At 41.1% G+C, this 27,764-nt stretch overlaps 1 protein-coding gene and 1 pseudogene across 4 annotated transcripts, besides 1 other annotated feature; one reads left to right on the top strand and one right to left on the bottom strand.

The window, feature by feature from the left end:
* On the bottom strand, positions 1–27,343 carry KRABD4 (KRAB domain containing 4). Of its 4 annotated transcripts, none has more exons than NM_001129899.2 (7): positions 27,294–27,343; positions 26,330–26,440; positions 24,165–24,209; positions 11,766–11,892; positions 11,332–11,442; positions 3,455–3,498; positions 1–1,890 (listed from the first exon to the last, which is right to left on the bottom strand). In NM_001129899.2, the coding sequence occupies exons 3-6, from the start codon at positions 24,177–24,179 to the stop codon at positions 3,455–3,457; spliced, it is 297 nt and encodes a 98-aa protein (NP_001123371.1). In that variant the 5' UTR covers positions 24,180–24,209; positions 26,330–26,440; positions 27,294–27,343; the 3' UTR covers positions 1–1,890. The 4 variants fall into 4 exon arrangements, with proteins under 4 accessions (NP_001123371.1, NP_001123372.1, NP_001123370.1 ...); NM_001129900.2 differs by having other exon boundaries at positions 11,347–11,442; NM_001129898.2 differs by lacking the exon at positions 3,455–3,498.
* VEZTP1 (VEZT pseudogene 1) lies at positions 17,396–21,180 on the top strand (annotated as a pseudogene).
* Positions 27,107–27,764: an enhancer, noted in NCBI's record as "NANOG-H3K27ac-H3K4me1 hESC enhancer chrX:46306311-46306968 (GRCh37/hg19 assembly coordinates)". NCBI's record gives its function as "activates a minimal SCP1, AML or CMV promoter by ChIP-STARR-seq in primed H9 embryonic stem cells {active_cell/tissue: H9 hESC(primed)}" and the evidence as "EXISTENCE:reporter gene assay evidence [ECO:0000049][PMID:30033119]".

The raw sequence follows: 27,764 nt of genomic DNA, 5'->3' as shown, positions 1-27,764 counted from the left end.
TAAATAATTTTATCATTTATTGAATGATTTGAGTAGCTTTTGAATTTTCTTACATCAACCGAAGGCGAAATGATATCTGAGAGCTTTTTAAATGTGTGTTAGACTTACATGATTACACTCAATGAATTCTTTAATGCACAATATGACAAGGTACAGTACCCCTCCCTTATCCATGGGGGATATGTTCCAAGATCCCTAGCGGATGCCTGAAACTGTGAATAGTACCGAACCTGATTGCTGTCAGAACCCATTTCTATTCACGCCTTCCATCCGCAAATTTAATGTCTTTTTCGTCTTAGCACTTATGATGCACTGTGGCCACAACTTTTGCAGTTTCAGATGTGACAGCAAAACTAGCACAAGTTTCTTTTTCCTCCTTCACAATTTCTTGGATAGAAGATTCATTCTTACTGTAAATCTTAACAACCTCAGCATACATTTTTTTTCTTTATTAAGTCAAGAACTTTAACCATTTCACTTTAAGGAAGCACTTTATAACTTATTTTTGGTGTATGCAAATTGCCAACATCACTACTCTTGCACTTTGGGGTCATTATACAATAAGGGTAGCTTTAATGCAAGCACTGCAATCCCATGACAGTCAATCTGACAACTGAGACAGCTAAGGGACTAGTGGGCGGGTAGCATATACAGCATGGATATAATACTGGACAAAAGGATGATTCAAGCCGGGTGCAGTGGCTCATGCCTGTAATCCCAGCACTTTGGGAAGCTGAGGCAGGCGGATCACTTGAGGTCAGGAGTTCAAGACCAGGCTGGCCAACATGGTGAAACCCTGTCTCTACTAAAAATACAAATTAGCTGCGTATGGTGGCATGTGCCTGTAATCCCAACTATTTGGGAGGTTGAGGCAGGAGAATCGGTTGAACCCAAGAGGCGGAGGTTGCAGTGAGCCAAGATTGTGCCACTGCACTCCAGTTTGGATGACAGAGCAAGACTCTGTCTCAAAAAAAAAAAAAAAAAGATTCACTGATTTGCATCCTGAGCAGGAAAGAGCAGGACAGTGCAAAATTTCATCACACTATTCACAATAGCATGCAACTTATGCATTTATGTTCTGTGACATACAATGAGAGTTGATTTAACACTAAAAGATTTCCCACATTTATTACATTCATAAGGTTTCTCCCATATGAATTATCTGATGTTTAATGAGAGTTGACTTCCTACTGAAGGCTTTCTCACAGACACTGCATTTATAGGGTCTCTCTCCATATGAATTTTCTTATGTTTAATCAGAGTTGACTTCTGGATAAAGGTTTTTCCACATTCACTGCATTCATAGGGCTTCTCCCCTGTGTGAGTTCTCTGGTGTGCTATGAGGGTTGACTTCTGGCTGAAGGCTTTTGCACATTCGCAGCATTCATAAGGTTTCTCTCCGGTGTGAGTTCTTTGATGTACAACTAAGTTTGCTTTCTGGATAAACACTTTTCCACATTCAGTACATTTGTAGAGTTTCTCCCCAGTTTGACTTCTCTGACTTTTTCTAAGGGCTTGCTTTTGGTGGAGGGCTTTCCCTCGTTGATTAGGGTCAAAAAATCTCTCTGCAGGTTGAGCTTTATGAAGATTATAATGGAAGCATACTTTCCAATATGCTTTACATCCATCATCTTTCTTTCTTACATAGCTTCCATTTTGACCAAGAAAGTTTAAATGATGTTTTGAATGCCTTTTCCCACGAATAATATTTAGGGAGTCTTTGCCTTACAGAATCAAATTCTGTGCTCAGATAAATGCTTTTTCTACATGTTCTGGATTCTTGACCGCTTTCATCCTTCAGTGTTTCCTTGCCTATGAATGCAGCTTGCCAAGGAAGTTTGTCTTGGCTTTCCTTGTAGTGATCTATCTGCTCATCAACTTGCCAGACTTCTAGAAGAAAATGAATGAATCATCAAACTTGTTAAGTCTTTCCACTAGAATGTTATGGAATAACATTAATCCCTAAATGCCCAAGCAGTGAACTCCTATCAACATGACTTGAGCTGATGTGGATGGACCCTCCCCATGTCCCACCACCACCACCTCCCCTGAGTGCAAGTACAGAGAAATGCTGGCTCAAATTTAACAAAAATAATTTAATATGCAGCCAAGCTCAAACCAGAAAATAAATTTATTATGTGACAAAAATGAAGAAGAAATTTAAAGTGAGGGAGTGAACAGAAATTGAAGCTGTGTGGCTTTGCAGTTGGGGGACTAAGGCTCTAATCATGAGTGTGAGGTGAATTCTAGGCCACAGGGCACAAATGTGCAGAGAATTAGAATTGAGCTACCTGCTTAAAGCTGGGAGTCACAAAGGACATCTCTGTGTGTAAAATAGGAACTAGAAAGATGTCACCCACTGGCTAATGAAAATGTTAAGAAGAATCAGGGGTTACTTACAAGAAGTCAGAACCACAGTCCTGTACCACATGTAGGAGTGCATTCCAAATGGACATTTGAAGTATAATACAAAACCCCCGAAGTTGATAAATTCACCTATAAATTGTTCCTGCATTAGTGAAACCAGTGGGCCCCAGCAGTGGCAATCCAAATAGTTCTGCAGTGATGCTTTCATAGCTTAGGGTACACAGAATTTCCATGGAAAATAACTCTCACTGAAAAGGAGTTCACAGTAAAAAAAAAATTACAAACTTCAAAAGGAAATGAACCACAATGAGTTGAAAACTTATGTCTACAGAAAAGCCTGCACGTGATGTTTATAGCAGCTTCATTCATAATGGCCCCAAACTGGAAGCAACCAAGATGTCCTTCAATAGGTGAATGGATAAACAAAGTGATCCACAATGGAATATTATTCAGCAATAAAAAGAAATGGGCTATCAAGCCATGGACATGGAGGAAACTTAAACGCATATTGCTATTTGAAAGAAGCCAGTCTGAAAAGGCTACATACTATATGATTCCAACTATATGACATTCTAGAAAAGGCAAAACTATAGAGATAGTAAAAAGATCAGTACTTGCCAGGAGAGAGTGAAAAAGGGATGAAAAAGCAAAGCACAGGGGATTTTTAGGGCGGTAAGACTATTCTGTATGAAACAGTAATGGTGGATTTTTATGCATTTGACAAAACCCATAGAACTGAACAACACAAAGAGTGAACCTTAATGTAAGATGTGACTTTAGTTAATAATAATGTATTCATTCACCAGTTGTAACACACGTACCATACTAATGCAAGATGTTACTATTAGGGGAAATTGGCAGGGTGGGGGTGGGTAGAGAGAGGTATAAGGAAACTCTCTGTAGAGAGATGTGTAAAGGGATGGAGATATACCATGAAAACCTAACCAAAAGAAAGCTGGAGAAATTACATTAATTTCAGACAATGACTTCAGAACAAGAAGGATTTTCTGGCACAAAGAGGGACATTACAAAATGATAAAACAGTCAATTCTTTGAGAAGAAATAACAATCCTAAAAGTGTATGTACCTAATAACAGCACTTCAAAATACATGAGGCAAAAATGGATACATCTGAAAGAGAAACAGACAAATCCACAATTATTGTTGGAGACTTCAACACTTTCTCTCAATAATTGATAGAACAAGTAGACAGAAAACCAGCAAGGATATAGATAATCTGAACAGCACCATCAACCAACTTCACCTAATTGACATTCAGAGAACACTGCATCCAACAACAGCAGAATATACATTCTTTTCAAGTGCATATGAAACATTCACCAAGATAGAACATATTCTGGGTCTTAAAACAAACTTGTACAAATTTATACAAAATCATATTATGTGCAATAACAGTATTACAACAAAAATCAATAAAAAAGATACTTGGAAAACCCCAAATATTTGGAAATTTAAAGATATACTTACTTCTAAATAAGTCTTAAGGGGAATTTGAAACTATTTTGAATTAAATGAAAATGCAACATATCATAATTTGTGGGACACAGCAATTAGAGGGATATTTATAGCACTGAATGCATATATTAGAAATAAAGATCAAGCAGAAGAAAAGAAATAATAAGAGCAGAAATCAATGAAGTTGAAAACAGGAATGTTCTTCAAATGGTGAATGGCTAAACAAACTGTGGTACATCCATTTGGTGGAATATTAGTGACAAAAAGGAAGAAACTCTGGGTACTCACAACAGGATGAATCCAACTGAGAAGTATGCTGAGTGAAAAGAACTAATCCCATAAAGCATCATACTGTATGACCTCATTTATGTAATATTCTTGAAATGACAAAATTATAGAAATGGAGAACAAATTAGTAGTTGCCAGGGCTTAAGAATGGGTGGGGAGGGAAGGAATGGGTATAGCTATACAAAGCAGTATGAGGGACCTTTGTAGTAATGGAAATTTTCTGTATCTTGACTTTCTCAATGTCAATATCCTTGTTGTGATTTGTAGTATAGTTTTTCAAGATGTCACCATTAGTGGAAACTGGGTAGAATACACGAGATTTGTCTGTATTATTTCCTACAAGGGCATGGGAATCTATGATTATCTCAATACAGAATGTTTAATTTAAAAAATAGTCAAATATTCCAAAGAGAAGAATGGTGAAGTAAAATAACAACAAAAAACCAAAAAGAAGTTTGGTTGGGGGGATGAACAGAAAATAAATAAAAAAATGGTACATGCAAATCCAATAATATCAATAATTACATAGGAAGTAATGGTCTAAAGGAGAAAAAAACACCATCATAGGAACTGATCCATAAAAATAATTTATAACATCCATTCATAATAAAAAAAACTTTCAGAAAATCAGGATTAGAAGGAAATATCCTCAACCTATATCAGGCCATTATGAAAAAACCTGCAAGTAAAATTATGCCTAATGGTAAGAGAGTAAATGCTTTTGTCCTAAGATCAGGATCAAGGCAAGTATGTTGCCCTCCCTACCCTAGTCAACATTATACTGAAGATCCTAGCCAGTAAGTACAATAAGGTAAGAAAAAGAAGTAAAGGCATCTAGCCTGGGAAAAGAAATAAACTGTCCTTATTCATAACTACATGATTGTTTATGTAGAAAATACCAAACCATCTATAAAAGAGCTACTAGCACTAATATGTGAGCTTATTAGAAAGGTTCCAGGATACAAAGCCAATATGGAAAGATCAATTACACTTCTATAAACTAGCAATGAGCAATAGGAAAATGAAATACAAAACAACTAGGTACATACACACACCCCATTTATATTACCTTGTAAGAACATAAAACACAGGGGAAAATTAAACAAAATATGTGCAAGACCTATCCATTCAAAACTATCAAATATTACTGAAATAAAATTTAAAAGAACTGAAATAGACGGATATACCATATTCATGATTTAGAAGGCTCAATATTGCACATCAATTATCCACAAATTCCATGCAATGTCAAAATCCCCTGCAGGCTTTTTTGCAAAAATTGACAAGCTGATTCTAAAATTTCTAGGAAAATACCAAGGACCTAGACTAGTTAAAACATTACAAAAAGGAAGAACAAAGTAAGAGGACTCATACTACCTGATTTAAACACATAATATAAGGCTACAGCAATTAAGACATGTGGTACAGGTTGTGTATCATTTATCCAAAATGCTTGGAACCAGAAGTGTTTTGGATTTCAGATTTTGTTGGTTTCCAGAATGTTTACATTATATATTTACTGGTTCAGCAGCCTAACCTGAAAACATGAAATTGGAAAAGCTTCAATGAGCATTTCCTTTGGATGCCATGTTGGTGCTCAAGAAGTTTTGGATTTTGGAGCATTTAGGATTTTGGATTTCTGGATTAGGGATACTCAACCTGTATTGGTGTACAGAGTGACACATATGTTCAAATACTTTTCAAAAAGGATGCCAAAGTAAGTTAATTAAGAAAGAACAGTCTAGAATAGACTGAATATTTGATAGTAACTTATCTTTCTTACTTAACCTCTCTTCTGCTCTGGTTAATCTGCTATTAAGTCTATATATTAAATTCTTTTTTTGTTGTTGCTTTTTAAATTTTGTGTTTTTTATATATATTAAATTCTTAATTTTCAATTTTCATTAGATTATTTTATATATCCTAGTTCCCCAGTGAAATTCTTACTATTAACATTTTTTTTTTGAGACAGAGTCTTGCTCTGTTGCCCAGGCTGGAGTACTGGAGCGCTGGAGTACAGCAGTGCGGTCTTGGCTCACTGCAACCCCTGCCTCCTGGGTTCAAGCGATTCTTGTGCCTCAGCCTCCCAAGTAGCTAGGACTACAGGTGCGCACCACCATGCCCAGCTAATTTTTTAGTATAGACGGGGTCTCACTATGTTGCCCTGGCTGGTCTTGATCTCCTGGGCTCAAGGGATCCTCCTGCCTCAGCCTCCCAAAGTGCTGGGATTATAGGTGTGAGGCACCACACCTGGCATCATTTTAAAGTAGATGTCAAATAATAAACGGATCACTTGTTGATCTGAGAAAAAGAAAGAATATTCTTTTCAAAAATATTACTGGAACAATTGGAAATGCATATGTAAAAATAATATAAAAATATGTTGACCCTTACCTCACATCAGATACAAAAATTAAGTCATTAACAGTCACAGACTTATAAATATAAGAACTAAAATTATGAATCTCCTGGAAGAAAACATACAGAAAAAATCTCTGTTACCCGGGGTTGGTGAGAGATTTGCTAAAGAGGACACAAAAAGCATGAACCATAAAAGAAAAATTTAATAAATTGGACTTTATAAAAACAGAAACATTTGTTTTTCAAAAGATACTGTTATGAACAAAACAAGCCACAGCCTAGGAGTAAATACTTGTAAAACACATAGCTGGTCAGGATTTATATCCACAATATATAAAGAACTCTCACAGTTTAATAACAAACAATGGCAAAAGATTACAATAGACACTTCACCACAGAACATATACAGATGGCAAATAAGCACATGAAAACATGCTCAACATCACTGATCATACAGAAATGCAAATTTAAATCACAATGAGATCCCCCTATATACCTACTAGAAAGGTGTGTTGTTGGTGGGAAAACAAAATAGTACAGCCACACTAGAAAACAGTTTGGCAATATCTTATTATTATTATTATTATTTTTGAGAGACAGGGTCTTACTCTGTCACCCAGGCTGGAGTAGAGTGGCGTGATCTTGGCTCACTGCAATCTCCACCTCCTGGGTTCAAGCAATTTTCCTGTCTCAGCTTCCCAAGTAGCTGGGATTACAGGCGTGCACCACCACACCCAGCTAATTTTTGTATTTTTAGTAGAGACGGGGTTTCACTATATGCTGGCCAGGCTGGTCTCAAATTCCTGAGCTCAAGTAATCTGCTCGCCTTGGCCTCCCAAAGTGCTGGGATTACAGGCGTGAGGCACCACACCCGGCCCAATGTCTTATAAAGTTAAACATATGCTTACCATATGGCTAAGCAATCTCACTCCAGATATTTACCCAAGAGATATGAAAACACAGATCCACAGAAATGCCTGTACAAGAATGTTCACCAGCTTCACTCATAATAACCAAAAAAACCCCAGGGACAATTCAAATGTGCATTAACTGGTCCATCGACAGATAAACTGGAACACTACTCAGCTATCAAAAGGAACAAACTGATACATGCCACAACATAGATGAACCTAAAATGCATTAAGGTAAGTGAAAGAAGCCAGCCACATGATATTCTAGAAAGAACCAAACTAGAAGGAAAAGAGGTCAAGCCTGGGATGAGGAGAAAGACTGAATTATAAAAGGAAACACGGAGTTTTTTGCAGGGGATGAAAATGTCCAATGCTTTGATTGTAGTAGTAGTTACACAGCTATATATTTGTCAAAACTATACAACTATACACCTAAGAAAGATAAATTCCATGGTATGTACATTATACCTTAATCAATTTCATTTGAAAAAATAAAAGGAATGCAGTCACATCAACATAAATATATAATGACCACACATAAAAACACATATAGAAAATTATGTTCAAACATTAACATGTATGGCCAAAGATCATATGGTGCCATAAGGGCATTTTGTTTTATTAAAATACTTCATGAGCACTAATGATAAAGTACTAACAAATATGGAACTCTAATTAATGATATGCCTGTGGAGGTACTTAGGTGTTAAGGGTACTGATCTCTGTAACTTCCTTTGAAATGCACCACAAGAAAATAAATCGAATTGATGGAAGGACAGAGGAATTGGCAGATGGACAGGGGATAAATATAGCAAAGCCTGGGGTAGGCCTTTTATAGTTATTATAAATCTAGGTGGACGTATTATATGGGTGTTCAACCTACAATTCTTTTACTTGTTTTATACAAAAATTTTCATAATAAAATGTCGGGGGAGAAGCTAGATAAAGAACAGCAAAGTAAACTGAAAGTAAGTAGGAAAAAGCAAATAAAAGTAAAAGGAGAAATCAATAAAACAGAAAAATGGTAGAGAAAATTAACAAAGCTAAAACTTCTAAGAAAAGATCAACAAACTTGAAATAAATTTCAGTTTGTACTACTACATGAGACTGGACAGTTTTCATTACTATAATGAGGCTACTCTTGAAAGTAACAGTTCCTAGAAGATTTTTATTATCTCAGAATGACCAGTGAACTTATGGGACCAACCAGAGGTTTCATCCAGGAGACAGAGGGAAAAATATAGTTCCTGAAATAGATTTAAATATGGAGAAATAGGGCAGAAATTCAAGTTGCTTTCTGCTGTTTTCTGCTTCCAACCCTGGGAGTTTGGAGAGCTGTCTAGGAGTGAGTCAATGTGCTCCTGTCTTCCCATCCCATCCTGCTCGCATGCTCATTGCCGTCTCCTATTTCCTTGCAATTCCTCTCAGCAGATATTTCAAGTAGTGGATCTTAACCAAAGATGGGCATCAGAACCCTCTGGAGTGTCACTCAAAATGCACATAACCAGGCCTACCCCAGGCTTTCTGAAACAATTTCTAGAGTGGGGCCTACTCATGAGTATTCTGACAGATCCACAGGTAACTATGTAATACATCTCTGGTTAACAACCACATTAAATTAAAAAAAACTGTTTTTATGGATAATAACAACAATAAAAATAGTGATATCATTTGTTGTTTCCTTTATGCCAGGCACCCTTTTAGGTGCTTTACATGGATCAACTCATTAATTTCTGAAAATTCAGTTTTATCATTAGCCCCATTCTACAACAGGTAGAGAGGCCAACCAATGTGTACACAGTGATAGCTAGTGAGGGAAGCGGCCAGAATTCCAGCCCAGGCTATGTGGCTCCACAGTCCATGCTCTTAGCCACTTGTATGTGGATGAATAACAAAGCTCCTTCCTCTGCCCAGGTCCAAAACAATCAGTGCAATATTTATTGAATGTCTTCCACCAGTCCCACACTGGAACAAGTCAGAACAAGATGTAGGCTCTTATGTCTAGGGGTTGTGTTTGAGCTAAAGAAATGAGCCACTGGCACTTAGCTAGATTTTTTAAAAGTTACCATATGAAATGCATAGCTATATTATTTAAAGTTACAAATGTAACCAATAAAGGAACTAAAAATAAGCATATAACAAACTTGTGAAGAGCTGGGGAGTGGAGGGCCAAAGTGTGAGGGAAATCCTTACTTTTCATAGAGAGAAGATAAAACTGAAAACCCGCAAAATGCAGATATAAAGGCATTCCCTAAACCTATGGAGGTGCTCACCAGAACCAAAAGAGAAATCTTTAGAAGAAGCTGCCCTTGGGAGGTGTGATTGGGAATGCACCTAAGATTACCTTTTAGCCTATACTGTTCTGCACTCTTAGACTGAATATATAAATGTCTGTATTTTAATATAATATAGTTTTTCTTAGGGAATTGGGACTCAGGAGGGTAGACTGTGCCTGAATTTGCTTTTCCTCCCTTCTGGGATAGCACTGAAATGAGAACAAGACACACAGTCATTACAATTCCAGGCATCACTGGAAAAAAGCAAGCATACCATCAGCACATCAGAAATCCTGATGAATCTCTAAGCAGCAAATAGGGAATTACACTGAGCAACAAAGAGGTTATCATCACCCAAAACATTCCTGGGGGAAGCTAGAGTGGTGGGAGCCACAAATGCCAGCACAGGGAGGATCTCAGAGAGTGTGTGCTGAGGAGTGGGTTCTGGAGGAAGCCATCTGAGGAGTCACCTGTAGGTCCTTGGGGCCAGCACCTGACTACAGCTGATGCTCTGAAATTAATCTCTAACGAGCAGTGCTTTTCAAGCTTTACTGTGCCTATGGGGTCCCTGGGGAGCTTGTTGAAATGCACATTCTCTTTCAGAAAATCTAGAGTGGGGCCTGATTCTGATTTTCTACTTAGTGCCCCAACAATGCCCAGGCAGGGATCACCCTCTGAAGAGTAATAGCATTCTAAACAGGCTTCTTTGCCATGGGCCAGTGAAGGGGGTACTATGAAGGGGAGAGAAAGAGTAGACCAGTGTATCTGAAGAGTTTCTGGATCCTTGTAGGTAGCCCACAGGAAAAATAGACAAGGAAAAAGCAGTTCTATGCAGGACTAAAATACGGTTCACTGAAGTATTCCACCCTGGGAGTAATGTCCTCTCAAGTGTGTTTTTTTTTTTTGAAAAAGTAAAGAGATAATAACAAAAACAAGAGTTGAGTAGGAAGGACGTATTGAAAAATGGAGGAATCTGATAACAAGTAGTATGAAGTCAGATTTGTAAGAGTCTGAGAAGAAATAAGTAGAGAAAACAGAAAATGGTGTGAGGTTTACAGTGTTAACCACAAAGTGAAAGCAGGCAAGAACGTGGTGGGTACCTGGCTGGGTAAAGGTCACTGGCAAAGCTTTGGTGTCCATAGTGACTCAAAACAAACAAACAAACAAACAAAAAACAAACAAAAAAACAGGTACGATAATCTACCTTAGGCTAAAAAAAAAAGGCCAAATTTCAGCCTGAAAGGGCCCACAGTATGCCCAATAAAGAGAAAATGCTGACATCTATTAATACATCTACTATGGTGAAAATACAAAAGGCCAAGAAGGTGGGAGAATAAGTCTTAAAAGCTTCCAGAAAGGTGGTGGGAGAGGAATGAGAAGGGGCTTGGCACTTCTCACTAACAAGCCAGGAGGCTGGAAGGTAGAAATGGGATCTCAGAACAAGTGGCCACAATCTATGTGAATGCCAAACAAAGAACACAGAGACTGTAACCGGCGGCCAGGCAGAGGCCTCATTTGGACATGACAACAGTTCTGCTCATCAGAGCCTAGGCATGTCCACAAGTCCGAGGCTCTGAGAAGGGCTCCTGAGCACATCCCAGAGGCCAAGCTCTCACCAACCAACCTGGTCTCCTTTCCCCGGCCTGACTCACCTGGCCTGTCCTCACCTGCACAGGTCCGTACCGGGGTCCCCCCATCTGCCATCCAGGACTCTTCACCTGGTCCCAACCTGAAGATCACATCTGGCTTCGCAACTAGATACCCTGTTCGGGGGAAATGACATAGGACTTCGTTATTAATGCTGAGGAATTCCAGAACCTAGGCCCACCCCTGCAGGCTGAAGGTGATGGCCCCATGCACACAGCTATCTGCCCCTCAGTACAGAACATTCACATAGCAAGCAAGGGCACCAATATGCTCTCCAGTGTCCAAAGGAGACTACGAATACTACACAGTGGGCAGTAACCCAAACTCACTGAGGGTGGTAACCCACACTCATTGTTCCTAGGCCCCAGAGCTTGGAGCAGCTGAGAAAGAAACACAGTACTGGAGGCATTCTGCATCACCCTGTGGCACGGTCCCTCACCCACGGACACCAGGTGGCTGTAGTTCTCAAGCATGACATCCCTGTAGAGGTTCTTCTGGGCAGAGTCCAGTTGCTGCCACTCCTCCAGGGTGAAGTCCACAAACACGTCCTTGAAGGTCAATGATTCCTGTAATGGCACATTCCTCTTTAGCACCCCAGGACCAGCCTGGGGCACTGGGACATGGCATCTCACGCACACGGAGGGCTTACTCTGTGCCCTCTAGGAGAAACTTGACAGATGAAGAGCGTGAGGTGCACAGAGCCTAAGTAACTAACCCAGGTCACACAGCCAGGAATGAGGGGAGTCGAATCCACACGGTCTGGTTCCCACACCCACAATGGCCTTTCTTTCTTTTTTTTTTTTTGAGACCGAGTCTTGCTCTGTCGCCCAGGCTGGAGTGCAGTGGCATAATCTTGGCTCATTGCAACCTCTGCCTCCCGGGTTCAAGCGATTCTCCTGCCTCAGCCTCCCGAGTAGCTGGGACTACAGGAGCCCGCCACCACGCCCGGCTAATTTTTGTATTGTTAGTACAGACGGAGTTTCACCATATTGGCCAGGCTGGTCTCGAACTCCTGACCTTGTGATCTGCCCGCCTTAGCCTTCCAAAGTGCTGGGATTACAGGCGTGAGCCATCGCGCCCGGCCTGGCCTTTCTCATATAATTGTTCTTATGCCAGTCACTAGTCAGTTTGGCATAGTATATTACATAGAGTATCTATATGACTAAAATCATTTTGAACTTTATAGGAGAAACAGATAGGGTATGAGAAATATTTTACCCTGGAAATTCATTCATTCAACACATGTTTACTGAACAGAGGCCGGGCTGGTAAGTCCTGTGAAGTAAAGATTGATACAAAACCACACCTCTTGAACTCAAGGAGCTTCAGTTTAGTGGAGGGAGAAAAGTGACACTTAAGACACTCAAGACACTCATAGATGAAACAGAGGCAGGGAGGAAGCCTGCCTCACAGGGACAGTGACAGATGTAGGAAGGGGTCCGGGTGGTCCACAAAGGAGGAAGTCAATCCTGCCTGGGGCTGACAGAGCAGCCTTCACAGGGGACACAGAGCTACAACAAACAGTTCTAAACATAGCTAATCAATCATGAAACAAAGAACAGGAAGCCAGAGGTTTGTGGCCTGGGCAGCTGACTGAAGCAAAAGGGGAAAGGTCTGTGCTTGGCCTTGTCACCACCAAACAAGAACTCACTTCTACAAGCGCCCCAATTCCTTGCAAAGACTAATAACCCGCCTGTTTCTGCTCCAGATCCCATCCTGTCACGCCCACACTTGGTGGCCTTCAATTCAAGCCACTCGCTGCACCCATAAGGCCCAAATCAGCCACAGTGGCACCAGTTTACCCAGCTGTGCAGGAGAGGGGCAGGAAAGCCAGCGTGCCAGAGGGTGGGGACAGGCAGGCTTCTCCAGCAGGAGGGCTTCTCAGAGCAATCCAGGAGCTGTTAGCCCAATCTGCCCCTCCCTCGTGATAGCTCCGGTGCTGGGGAACAAAACCACACTGCTGAGTGCTAGGATGATGTTGCTTGGAAGCCCTAACCTGTTCCATAGACCAGTATCTCTTGTAATGGTCCCAGTGGCATGGCTTCGAGGATCCCAGCAAAAGATGGGCCCAGTTACTTATCACTGAGTGGCAATGTGCTCAGAAAACCCCAATCCATGGCTTCCTACCAGCCAGTCATAGTTTACTCAGTCCTCCAGTCCAGATGCAGTTTGTTTACCAATCCAGAGTCAATTTTATCTGGAGTAATGTCACCTGGTTTGATATTGTGAAATATATATTTGGTTTTTGTCCTGTCTCCTGGCAAGAAGCTCCTGCAACCCTTGGAATAGCCTCTGAAGTGATCAAAGTATCTTTTATATGCTAATGAGATGACTGTTAGCTGGCTGCCCCTAGGTAGCTTCTGGATGGAAGCTGGTCACCAGAAAACCAGACAGGATTAGAAGGTTGGGAATTTCATCTCCATCCTCAAAACTCCTGGGAGGGGAGAGGAGATGAAGGTTGAGTTGATCACCAAGGGCCAATGATGATCATGCCTCTGTGATGAAGCCTCCATAAAAACCCCACTGTGGCTGGGTGTGGTGGCTGGCTCCTGTGATCCCAGCACTAAGGGTGGCTGAGAAGGGAGGATCACTTGAGGCCAGGAGGTTGGGCCTGCAGTGAGCCAAGACTGCACCACTGTTCTCCAGCATGGGGGACAGAGCAAGACCTTGTTTCTCAAAAACAACAATAACGACAACAACCAAAGGGCTGGGTGGGTTCAGACAGCTTCCACACAGCTGAACACTTGGTGGTTCCCGGATGGTAGTGAGTCCAGAGAGGGCATGAAAGGTCCGTGGACCTTCCCACATCCCTTGCCCTATGCATCTCTTCCATCTGGCGGTTCATCTGTATCCTCTGTAATATCCACCCCCCTGCCCCCAGCTTTTTTTTTTTTTTGAGACTGAGTTTCGCTCTTGTTGCCCAGGCTGGAGTGCAATGATGTGGTCTTGGCTCATTGCAACCTCTACCTCCCAGGTTCAAGTGATTCTTCTGCCTCAGCCTCCTGAGTAGCTAGGATTATAGGCATGCACCACCACACCCGGCTAACTGTATTTTTAGTAGAGACGGGGTTTCTCCATGTTGGTCAGGCTGGTCTCAAACTTCCAACCTCAGGTGATCCGCCCGCCTTGGCCTCCCAAAGTGCTGGGATTAATGAGCCACCGCGCTTTGCCTGTAATATCCTTTATAACAAATAGGGGAAACTCAGGGAAACTGAAACTCACTCTAGCAAATTAATCAATCTTCAGGAGGGGTTCATGGGAACCCCCAATTTGTGGCCCATCAGTCAGATGTATAGGTGACACCCTACTTGTGACTGGCATCTCAAGTCAGGGCAGTCTTGTGGGACTAAGCCCTCAACCTGTGGGAGCTCACGCTAACTCCAGGTAGATGGTGTCAGAATGGAATTGACTTCACAGCACACCGAGCTGGTGTCCAGGGAAAACTGCTTGGTATGTGAGGGAACAGCCTGGGGCCTGGGATTACATATGGTGTCAGAAGTGTTGTGTCAAGTGAGAGGAGACAGTAGGAAAAACTTGGGTTTCCTTCCCTATCTCTCAGACCTAGTAAAACAGCCGTCATTCCATTATCAGGCTTCCAGTAACACATAGCTAAACATGACAATGATAATGAGAGTTAATAACCACTAACAGATCCTAGAAGTACAGTGTCAGAGGTTACTTCATAATAAAAGTATCTTAAATCTCTGCAGAAAAGATGTCATTAGGAAAATCTGGCTAGGCATTTATGGAGGGAAGAAACTCCATAAAAGTAAATTACTCATCTTACTCTGAGCCCCCAAGTAAATTACAGATGGATTAGAGATTTAAATGTGTACAAAATAACCATAAAAATGATAGATAAGTTAAAAGTTTTGATAGTTTTGTAGTGGCTGATGGCCTTTCTAAGCAATCCCCAAATTCAGAAAATACATAGCTACAGAGTGATAAACTTGACTACCTAGACATCAGAAATTTCTTTTTTTTTTTTCTTTTTTTTTTTTTGAGACAGTCTCGCTCTGTTGCCCAGGCTGGAGTGCCGTGGCACTATCTTGGCTCACTGCAACCTCTGCCCCCCAGGTTCAAGCAATTCTCCTGCTTCAGCCTCATGAGTAGGTGGGATTACAGGCATGCGCCACCATGCCTGGCTAATTTTTTGTATTTTTAGTAGAGACAGGGTTTCACCATGTTGGCCAGGCTGGTCTTGAACTCCTGATCTCAGGTGATCCACCCACCTCGGCCTCCCAAAGTGCTGGGATTACAGGTGTGAGTCACCATGCCCGGCTGCTCCTACTATGCTTTTCTGAACTTTGGTTTTTTTCACTTAGACAAAAGTATCCCAGACATTCTTACATATGAGTCAATTTTTATCATAACAGTTCCAGAGTATGGATGTGGCAATTTATTTAACTATTCTATAGTCCTCCTCATCCATGTGAAGTTTGTTTACCAATCAGGGGTCATTTTTATCATAAGCAATGCCACCTGGTAGTATAGCTATCATTCTACCATTATTGGATTCTCAGGAACATGGGACACTTAGGGCTTTCTCCTTCTACTTTTTGCTAGTATGAATAGAACTGCTTTGGAAATCTTTGTGGACATATAAATATTTCACTAGGATGGAGTCCTATCAATGCAACTGCTGATTAAAATAAGAAAAAGATATTTAATAAGTACAGCCAAATTACCTCTCAACCAGCCAGTACTCTCATCCACAGTGGCTCTTATCTATCTTTTCAAAGTTTACCACTCTTACAGATAAATGACAGCAGGTATGTGAGTTTTAGTGAGGATTATAATCTTTTTGTATGTTTCTAGGCCACTAATATTTCTGTTACTATGAGTCTTCATTCTGTTGGGTTGTCTTGTCTTATTGATATATTAAAGGTCTAGGGTAAAATTCTAGAAAGGGCATTACTGTGTTAAGGGTATTTGCATTGTAAATGTTGATATATGTAAACCAACTGTTCCACCACAAAATGCTGTATACAGTTTATAACTTCTTTGGTGTTTTTTCTACATACTTGACTGTACTATTATCAACCTTTTTAATGTTTAAGAATATGAAGTATGATACATGGTATACTATTCTACATACATTTCATATTCTTTCAGCTATATATTAGGTGTGATCTTCAATGATTTGTTAGAATTTTAGTGTATAAAAGAAGGCAGCCCATTGTTATGTATACTTCAAATATTTTTCTCACTTTGATATGGATGTTTGATAATTTTTAAGATTTTCATTGTGCTTAGAAATTTCTAACGTCGGGGCCAGGTGCGGTGGCTCATGCCTGTAATCCCAGCACTTTGAGAGGCCAAGGCGGGTGGACCACTTGAGGTCAGGAGTTTGACACCAGACTGGCCAACATGGTGAAACCTCATCTCTACTAAAAATACAAAAATTAGCTGGGCGTGGTGGCAGGCACCTGTAATCCCAGCTACTTGGGAGGCTGAGCGGGAGAATCGCTTGAACCCGAGAAGTGGAGGTTGCGGTGAGCCGACTGTGCCACTGCACTCCAGCCTGGGTGACACAGCGAAACTCCATCTCAAAAAACAAACAAACAAACAAACAAACAAAAAACAAAAACCCCAAAACAGAAAAGCATAGGAGGAGCATATTTTCATTAAAAACAACCCATGCAAAATGTTGTGGTTTTGTATATATAAAAAAAAAAAAAAAAAAAAAACTCTGAAAGGCAAACAGTAGAAGGGCTGAGACTGGGTTCATTTGTTGGAATGCAACAGAAAGGGAGGAATGAAAATCAGCCCTGTTTTCATGGCTTGAAAACTGGGGAAAGTAAACATCTTTTCAAATGGCATCACACTTTTTTCTCATAAATTGCTTGCCTTATCTTTTTGACTATATGTCCACCACATTTTTCATCTTCTTTCATCCTTTTTCATTTTCTATATATGAATCCTTTGCATATCATATGCATTGCATGTATTTTCTCTCAGCCTCAAATATGTCTTTTGATTCTACGGGTTTTAACATTTTAATACAGTTTAATCTGACAATCTTTCTCGTTATGGTTTCTAGGTTTCCCATCTTCATTAAAAATGTTTCTTCTGATTTCCCATCGTGCTGAAGTGGGTGGCATGGCAGAGAAGGATGACATTGGAGTTTGACAAGGAGGTAGCTTTTGGAATTCTCCGCTTTATCAGTACTTACAGGATCCGGGACACACAGACTTTGAAATATGTTCTTTGTCACCAAAAACAGAAAAATGCGCCACGGAGGGACAACAAAAGCCTCCTACAAGAGTCCTACCAAAATACCTGGGATACAGTAATCACTCGGTGAACATAAACTCCACTTACTGGCATGCTCAGGGAATGGGTTATTAAGCAACGCATTCTGTTAAAAGTGGCTAAAACCACCAGAAGTTGGGTTTTTTCTCAGCGCAGTAAGAAAGATGACTTACTTCACAAGTTGGATATTGGATTCCGACTCAACTCATTACATACCATCCTGCAACAGGAAGTCCTGTTTCAAGAGGATGTGGAGCTCACTGAGCTACTTGATTCCAGTATCCTGTAAGCAGGACAACCTCAACAACAGGAAAGTGGACACCTTCCAACACTTTGCTCCCTGGCAACCCCTAATATTTGGGATGTCTCAATGCTATTTGCCTTCATTAGTTTGCTCGTTATGCTTCCTGCTTGGTGGATGTTATCTTCCTGGCTGGTATGGGGAGTGATTCTATTTGTTTATTTGGTCATAAGAGCTTTGAGAGTATGGAGGACAGCTAAACTACAAGTGACCTGAAAAAAATACAATGTTCACTTGGAAGATATGGCAGCAAATAGCTGAGCTTTTACTAACCTTGTAAGAAAAGCTTTACATCTCATTCAAGAAACTGAAGTGATTTCCAGAGGATTTATACTTTTGCTTGACAGGGTCAGTGCTTTATCCCATTTAATAAATGAGATAATTTATTAAATGATTAATAATAAATTATTAAATTTATAATAATTAATAAATTATACTTTATATTTATAAAATATATAATAATTTAATAATACATTATTAAATTATTATTAAATGATAAATGATTATTTATCCCATTTAATAAAGCTGGATGGCATCCCACTCAGTACCTCATCAGTCTCTGGAAAGCTGTCTACAGAACTTCCAAGCAGCAAGGCTATCTATCCTATAGATGCTGAAAAACTACCCCCTGAACTCTGAAAGTGACAATGCAACCAGCTATATCTGTGTCGTGCCTTTTAAGGAGCTGGGCCTTGGACTTAGTGAAGAGTAGATTTCAGAAGAGGAAGCACCTAACTTTACAGATGACTTTAGCCTGCCTACATTGAAGGTTTTGTTCCAACTCTGGATGGCAGCGTTCAGAATTCTACAGATGGTTAGTCTTATTACTTCCTACAGCCAATTCACCTCCTGGGCCCTTACTTACTTCAGCACTTTTGCCTCATCATATGTTATCTGATTTGACTCAAGGTCTACCTCATGCTTACTATGCCTGTTTGGAAGAGCTTAAGAGCAACTCTGAATTCTATCAGTACTTTGAAACTCAGCACCAGTCAGTACCAGTGTTTATCCAAAACTCAACAGAAGTCAAAAGAACTGAATAACGTTCACACAGCAGTGTACAACTTGCAGCTCCATGTGAAAGCATTACTGAATAAGGTAATAATTCTCGAAGATAAATTTGAAAAGCTTTTTTGTATTAAAGAAACAAGAACAGTGTCAGAGGCTTATCAAATCCTAGAACAGAAATTAAAGTTGATTCAGCCCCATGTTTAAACTAGCAACAATTGCTGGGAAGAGGCCATTTCTCAGGTGGACAAACTGCTATGAAGAAATACAGATTTAAAAAAGGCAAGCCTGAGGTAGTGTGTGAAAACCCATACTGTACAGTGGTAACTTTGATGCAGCCTACTCTACACATTGCCGACAAAGATCCACTCCCTGAGGAGGATGAATAGGACTTAGAAGCTTATGTAGATGATATAGATATTGACAGTGATTGCAGAAAGGATGATTTTTATTACTTGTCTCAGGAAGACAAAGAAAGACAGAAGCACGAGCATGAAGAATCCAAGAGGGTGCTCTAAGAATTAAAATCTGTGCTGGGATTTAAAGCTTCAGAGGCAGAAAGGCAGAAGTGGTTATAACTTCTACTTAGTGATCATGCTGTGTTGAAATCCTTGTCTCCTGTAAACCTAGTGGAACCCACAAGTAATTCAGAACCATCAATGAATTCAGATACAGGAAAATTCAGTAAAAATGATACTGAAGAGGAAAATAGTAAACACTCCACAAGTGACAATGAAGTAAGTAAGACTGAGTATTTATGTGAAGACTCTCTAGAGCAGGGGTGTCCAATCTTTTGGCTTCCCTGGGCCATACTGGAAGAAGAACTGTCTTGGGCCACACATAAAATACACTAACACTAATGACAGCTGATAAGCTAAAAAAAATAAAAATAAAAAAAAACTACAATAAAATGTCATAATGTTTTTTATTGTTGTTTGTTTTTGTTTTTTTGAGACAGAATCTCGCTCTGTCACCCAGGCTGGAGTGCAGTGGCGCGATCTCAGCTCACTGCAACCTCTGCCTCCTGGGTTCAAGCAATTCTGCCTCAGCCTCCCGAGTAGCTGGGATTACAGGCACGCACCACCACGCCCAGCTAATTTTTGTATTTTTAGTAGAGACGGGGTTTCACCATGTTGGTCAGGCTGGTCTCAAACTCCTGACCTTGTGATCCGCCTGCCTCGGCCTCCCAAAGTGCTGGGATTACAGGCATGAGCCACCGCGCCCAGCCAAAAATCTCATAATGTTTAAAGAAAGTTTACGAATTGTGTTGGGCTGCATTCAAAGCTGTCCTCGGCTGCATGTGGCCCGGGGCCATGGGTTGGACAAGCTTGATCTAGAGGGTAAAAATAAAGACAATTCTGCAAATGAAGTCTTCCTCCAAGGAGAGAAGACAGAATGTGTTACCAATGTGAGGGCGAAGATGAATCTCAAGCAGATGGAGGCGTTCTGGCCACTACCCCTCCATCTCCCAGGGAGTCCTTACAGACTTCCATTCAGCAGAGGCTGGCACAGCTACAGCTGTCACTGAATTTTACCTTCACTGATGGCTTTGCTGTAGAAGTGGCTGCTAGATCTCTCTCCTTTACCACCATGCAGGAAGATAATTTTTGTGATGAGGAGGAAGAACAAATGAGGTAGAAGAAAAGTAAGAACCAAGATTCACATGAAGTGATTTTAGGTTGTTTCTTTTGTGAAAGTGTTTAGCTTCAAGACTAGAGAGGGAATATGAGTGTACACCTACTATATATAAAGTTAAGATGTACATTTACAGGAATAACCCTGGTTTGAGTAACTGATCTGAAATTAGTAGTTCCCTGTAAATGGCAGATCTTTCAGGAAAAAAAGAGAAAGGTAAGGGCTCTATTGAATAAACTGTGGTTTTATTTGTGGTATAACTGATCTTGGAAATAAGTATTTTTAATAAGAAATGAATGATCATTTCTTGCCAGAATTTGCTACCATAAGGTGATATGGATAATTCTGTTACAAGAACATTAACATTTAGTATGACTTTTTTACTGTATTCTTGCAGTTAATAACTGCAGCTATTATGTTAATAACAAGTTGTTTACATTTTATTTTTGTTTATACTAGTCTTAAAACAAAGATCCAGGTTCTGAATAAAAAAAATTAATTCATACAATTGATACATGCTGGGGCTTGGAACTAAGAAGTAGTTTCAAAAGTACTTGGGTTATGGCATTTCTTATGTTTCCTTATTTATGTGGTTACTTAGTAGTTAATTTTAAGATGTCCCAATGATCATTAAAAGAAAAACATTGTACCATTTAAAAAAAAAAGTTTCTTGCACTAAGCAAAGTTATACCAATATCCTCTTAAATTGTCACCTAATTTTTCAAATATATATTTAGGTATTTGATCAATCTGGAATTCACTTTTATATGATGTAGAAGAGTTTCACTTTCTTTCCATCCAGACGGAGACTCAACGGTGCCACCGTCATTCAGTAACCACTTTTTCCACATAACTGAAATGCCATTTTTATAATCTCAACTCACAGAATCCTATTTAAGCAATACAAGAACTCTAGAAGCCACAAAATATTGTAAAATTAGATATTAAAAACACATTAAGTGTCCACTCCCCAAGATGTATAAGACAAATCAAAGCAAATAATAAACTATGAAAAATATTGACAACATGTATGACAGAGATCTCATTTGCTTAAGTTAACCCAAGGAGCTAACATCCAGCAATCAAAGTAATTCCACACCCAAGAGAAAAGGGGGCAAATGACTAGAATAAATATTTGAAAGAAAAAAGTACAAATGGTGGTTAAAAATGAAAAAAGACACTCAAATCAAGAAAAACAAATTAAAATGCACGACTCTTTTCTCCCTCACAATGGCAAAAATCACAGCGGATAATACACTGTGATTTCCCATTTACAGGAAAAGGCATTATAATGTTGCCAGCCATGCAAATCAGTACATCCTATTTGGAAGGCAATTGACAGTTCTGAATCAAAATTCAAGATGTATAAACTTTGACCTAGAAACTTCATATTTAGAAAGTTATCCTATAAATGTTCTCACATGTACACAATGGGAATCTACTATACACTGCTATGTTGTTTATGGTAGCAAAAGACTAGGAATATCCTAAATATCTATTATTAGGAGAAAGGTAAATAAATAGTGGTATTGCCATCAAATGAAAGCAGCCATTTTTGTAAGCGGGGTAGGCCACTGGTTTTAAACACTGGATAATTTTATTCCTCAGGGAATATTTGACAATGACAAGAGATATTTTGGTTGCCAAAACTGGAGGAGGGAGCACTATTGGCATCTAGTAGAGAGAGTCCAGGGATGCTGTTACATATACAATGCACAGGAAAGCAACCCATGACAAATAATGACCTCAACCAAAATGTCAATAGTGCCACACTAAGAAACCCTGGTGTAGAGTTAATACAAGTGAAAAGTTCGTTAAAAAAAAAAAAAGGACCAGAAAGACCAGGATGTACTGTAACTTGTTAAAGAGAGAAAGAGAAAGAGAGAGAGAGAGCACATGCAGGAGAAAACGAGTGATTGTGCATAGGCAGAGAAAGAGATTCATGAGTTCAAGACCAGCCTGGGCAACATAGCAAAACTCCATCTCTACAAAAAATACAAAAATTGGCTGGGCATGGTGGCATGTGCCTGTAGTCCCAGCTACTTGGGAGGCTGAGGTGGGAGGATTGTTGAGTCTGGGAGGCGGAGGTTGCAGTGAGCTGAAATTGTGCCACGGCACTTCAGCCTGGGGGATAGAGCCAGACCCTGCATCAAAAAACAAAAACCACAAAAAACTTTTTTTTGCTGAACAAAGCTTTTGTTTGAATTTTTTTACAATGTGTATCCATTTGCTTTTGAAATGCCCAATGCAATTTGTTAATGTTCTATTCAGAGTATTTTTAATATTTTGACATTTATATTCTTAAGGGAAACTGGTCTATAATTTTCTTTTTTGTAGTATCTTCCTCAAATTTCAGGTTAAGTGGCTTCACAAAATGAACTGGGTGCCTTTTCATCTTTAATAGCCTGGAAAATTGGAACACAGAAATTATCTGGTCTTTACATTTAGTGAAAGGAGTAATTATGAAGGATTTCGGAGGGCAAAACTTAAGTTTCAGTACCTTTTAGTCAAAACCCGACTTCCAGGTATAACCTCCATAAACACTGGTACTACAGAGCAAGTAGATACAGAGAAAGTTGTTTATGAGGCACTGTTTACAACAGTAAAAAAAAATTAAAAACTTAAATATCCATAAATAAATAGTTACATGATATTAAGACATCCATACTATGAGATAGAAATTAAAACAATCTTTATATATCGACAAGGAACACCACCCAGAAAGTAATCAGGTGCAAAAGGCAAGATGGGTATGGGAGTATGATGCCATTTGTGTAAAAGCATGAAAACAATACATGTGTATATGTTTTTGGTTCATTAAATTGACATAAATGCATCTACCCCACCATTTAACCCAACTGTTAACAGTGGGCATCTCTGACGAGGAACATGGTACTTGGGGGAGAAGGAATAGAATCTTTTGGGCTACTAGCTTTTTCTACGCACATCAAAACATTATGCACAAACTTATTATCATAAATATGAATGATGAAAAAGACCAAGTGATCTAGAAGTGAAGAAAGAGGAAAGAGCAAGATGAATCTATGTATGTAAACAATCTTCTGTGAGAAGGAAATGAAGAGAAGATGAGGTACAGTTCTCAGAAGAACAAGTAGAGAGCATGGTGGCTCGCGCCTGTAATCCCAGCACTTTGGAGGCCGAGGTGGGGGGATCACTTGAGGTCAGGAGTTCAAAACCAGCCTGGCCAACATGGTGAAGCCCCGTCTCTACTAAAAATACAAAAATTAGCCAGGCGTGGTGGCAGGCACCTGTAATCCCAGCTACTCAGAAGGCTGAGGCAGGAGAATCGCTTGAACCCGGAAGGTGGAGGTTGCAGTGATCTGAGATTGCACCACTGCACTCCAGCCTGGGTGATAGAGTGAGACTGTCTCAAAAAAAAAAAAAAAAAGAGAAAGAAAAAAGAAAAAGAAAAAGAAAGAACAAGAAGTAGAGAGAGGATTCTTTGTTTTTCCTCTCTCCTGGTGACGGGGAGGATCAGAGAAACCAGAGGTTGAGAACAAGTTGAATAGAAAACAGCCAGAGAAGAGGGGATAATTGGTATTTTCAAGTCTGCTATATAGATTCCAAACCTTGCCTCAATTTCACTGGAAACAAAGTATGGGTAAATTAGAAACTCACCTGGGACATGGCCATCCTGTTCTGCTCTGGACAAAGGATGGAGATCTATAAAGGCAAAATTAGGAGAGTACATTCGGTAGGTACAGCCATTAGACCATCATTACCATCCCAATAATAATTACCCTTGTACCCTAGGGAGAGTGATCTAAAAACATGACCTGGTAGCTCCAGCCTGTTTCCATGAAACTCTACTAAGATCATGTAGGTTTTCCACATGAAATTTTGTTTCCCTTACTGGACAGATGTATGACTTACGTCTAAAGATATCTATTTTAGAAACCAGTAACAATTAACATCTCCTTTATCTTAAGAGTTCTATTCCTAGACATTTGTCATAATGAAACATTCCTAAATGTGGAAAAGCTGAAAGAATGTTAACTGTAGTCATTTCTACCATTAAAATATTAATATGTGGAAGCGGCCGGGTGCAGTGGCTCATGCTTATAATCCCAGCACTTTGGGAGGCTGATGTGGGCAGATCACTGGAGCCCAGGAGTTCGAGACCAGCCTGGGCAACATGGCGAAACCCCATCTCTACAAAAATTAGCCAGGCATGGTAGCACATACCTGTAGTCCCTGCTACTCTGAAGGCTGGGTGGGAGGATCACTTGAGCCCAGGAAGTGGAGGTTGCAGTGAGCCAAGATGGCACCACTGCACTCCAGCCTGGGCGACAGAGGGAATCCCTGTCTAAACAAAAAACAAATAAACAAAAAAATTGGAAGCAACTAAATATCCAGCAAAGAGGACACAGTTAAAAAATATGACACATGCAAAAGCAGGTATACTGAACAGCCTTTCAAAATGCTATGGAATTTGTTTTTAGTTCCTAATGTGTTTAAAAGCAGGTTCCAAGAAAGCAAGCGCAGTGTGATCTCATTTTTGATAATCAATATGCACATATATGATGTCTCAGAGGATTTATTAAAATGCTGATATTGGTTACTTTTGAGTGGTGATTTCAATTTTCTTCTTTTATTTGCATTTTCTCAATTTTTGACAAAGAATATCACTAGTAAAACAAAAATTAAAAATTATTAAAAATCACCACTTATCAAACCGAGCCCTAGAGGTGAAAAGACCCTCTGCAAGTGTGTATAAGTAGGATCTCTTGATGTGGTTTGGAGGAAGGAGCCCAACAGGGGCTCAGAGGGCCACAGTGGAGGAGAGGTGTGGGGCTGGGTGGGTAACAGCCCAGCACTGTCAGTTCTGTGAGGGGCTGAAAACCACCGTGCCTGCTCCCCTGCATCTGCCTCTTTAACTGGCCACCTACCCTGTTCCCACCCCATCATTTTCTCCTTTCTCACAATTTGCATTTTGATTACCAGGCTCCTCCTTCTTTGGTAGTTTTTCAAATAAAGTTCCAGCAAGGAGCTTCTGTGCAGAGTAACCATTGCATACTGCAACAATCATTGTGACAGTATCAGGACAACAGGGTTCAGCTTGGTGTGGCTTAGCAGGTCATGTCCCCTGGCCCACTTTCATTAAGCATTGAAATAAGGCAGCAGAGATGGATGACAGCGTACCTAGAGACTACTTGGAAATTCTATAAACTAAAAATATATTTTCTGCACTTTGGTCAGGATGAAGGGACACTCAGCATTTCCCCTGGAAGCAGGTGCCTGATTGATGGTGTGGGGCTGACTCAAATTCAGAAATAGCCAATGGCAAGAGACGGGAACACAGGGGTGCACAAATAGGTGTGCTAGGAGAGGCCAATCCTCTGTGGCTGGCTGTGATCCTTCCCAGCCTCATAGCGCCTTTACAGGCACTACAGCAGGGCACCTGCCCCATGGGGGGACATCCATGCCTCCATCCACCTGTGACTTTCACCTGTCCCTCCTCCAGCAGGAATCAAACTGCACTGTCACACGGTCCTCGATGGCATCTGGAAGTTGAGCCAGCTTTGCTTTGTCTCAGCTGAAGTGAGGGACAAAGGCCACTATGGGTCCAGCTCTTCTAGGACCTGCTATCCTGTGAGCCTCCTTTCTCTGCCCTGAGGATCTGGGTCTGGGCTCTGGGCTGAGGCTTCTCCTCCAACTCGCCTCAGCTCAGCGTACCTCTCTTGTGTCCAAGGCCGCAGGACCAAGGGATTCAGAGACAAACACGCCCCAGTTGAGGCCATCACTATAGCACCAGATCTCTGCCTGTGACCCAGGGAACTCACCTCCTTCTGAGGCCTCAGCCTAAGTCTTCTGAGACTAAGTGAGGAAGCTGGGGCACAGATAAACTGGAGTCTGAAGTCGGTGAGCAGTGGTCTCAGGTCTGCACTCTGACCCTGGAAACACAATGACCACAGGAGATTCAATTAGCAACACCTATGCTCCCTTCCATGCAGTGAAGTTGAGTAAAACCCAAAGGTTTTACCCAGCAGAAGAGGGACAATGCCTCATTCTAGCTTTAAGAGTTAACATTGATTCACAGCTCAATTATCCTCAGTGAGCGAAACCCTGCCTTCCTGAGTCCGGGCTTTGGAATCAACTGACTGACTGCTGTGCCACTTTTATTCACTGAAGAAATGGGTGCCTTCCTTCCATGAGCCCGTTCTCCGTGCTGGAAATACATCAGGGAACAAAATCTCAAAGTCCCAGCTCCCGCAGAGTTTCTAGTCCAGCGGGGGAGACACACAGGAAACAATAAACATGATAAACGAAGCACAGGAAAAGAAAAAAAAGATTCCTCGGGTTTGCTACCTACGTGACTTTGGACAGGTTGTCAAGCCACACTGAGCCATTTTCTCTCTATAACACGAAAATAATCATCGTAACACCTCACAGGGCTCCTGTGAAGATTAATGTGAAACATTTGCAAGGTTGCCTGGCATTTTTAGGCGCTCAGGAAACAGGCGCGGAGTGACTCAATCAGTCACTCGCTGGCCCTGAACCTCGTCCCCAGCACTCACGCCCACAGGCCTGCGGGTCTCAGGGAACCGGACCCTGGTCCTGGCTCAGAGGGTCCTGAGAGCAAGGGGCCTGTCTCAGGCGGGGAAGTGGCCTGGAGGATGGGCTTTTGAGCTGGGCTGTAGAGCCACCCTGTCACCCACAAAGGCGTTCACCCATGGCCCCATGACCCCACGACCCCGTCAACCCCCGCCCCCATCAAAACCATCACCACCTCCGCGTCCCTCTTACTTCACCGCCAAGAGCCTGAAACCTCAGAGGCCGCTGACAACAGCCAGTGTGAACTAGGGACCGCCCTCCCGGGTCAGCGGAGCACTTCCGCTTCCCACCGCCCCCTGGGAACGCGGGATGGGGTCGGAGTGTGTCGCAGCGCCGCGCACGCGCAGTAGCACGGGGGTGGGTGCGCCACCGCCAATGGCCAAGATGGCGGCTTCCAGGGACCCCGTGTTTCTGATAGTGTTCGGCTTGAGGACAAAAGCGTGTGACCATTTTCCGTGGCGAGTGGTACAAAAGGCCCAGGGCGTCATCCCTTGCCGGCGAGAGGCGAGCGGACTTTCCAGCGGCCTAGCTCCCGCCCGCAGGGAGGCCGAAGTCCCCCTTGTCCCCCTTCTCCCATTTCGTCCTCCTGCATCGCGACCCTCCCAGTCGCTGCGGCATTGGGTGTTTGTGTCCCTCCGTCCTGAAAGCCATTGTTCCCGCTTT

The sequence above is a fragment of the Homo sapiens genome, chromosome X, assembly GCF_000001405.40.
Source record: "Homo sapiens chromosome X, GRCh38.p14 Primary Assembly".
Classification (NCBI taxonomy): Eukaryota; Metazoa; Chordata; class Mammalia; order Primates; family Hominidae; genus Homo; species Homo sapiens.
Note: the sequence above shows the minus strand (reverse complement) of the source record. Positions and strands in the feature narration are given on the sequence as shown.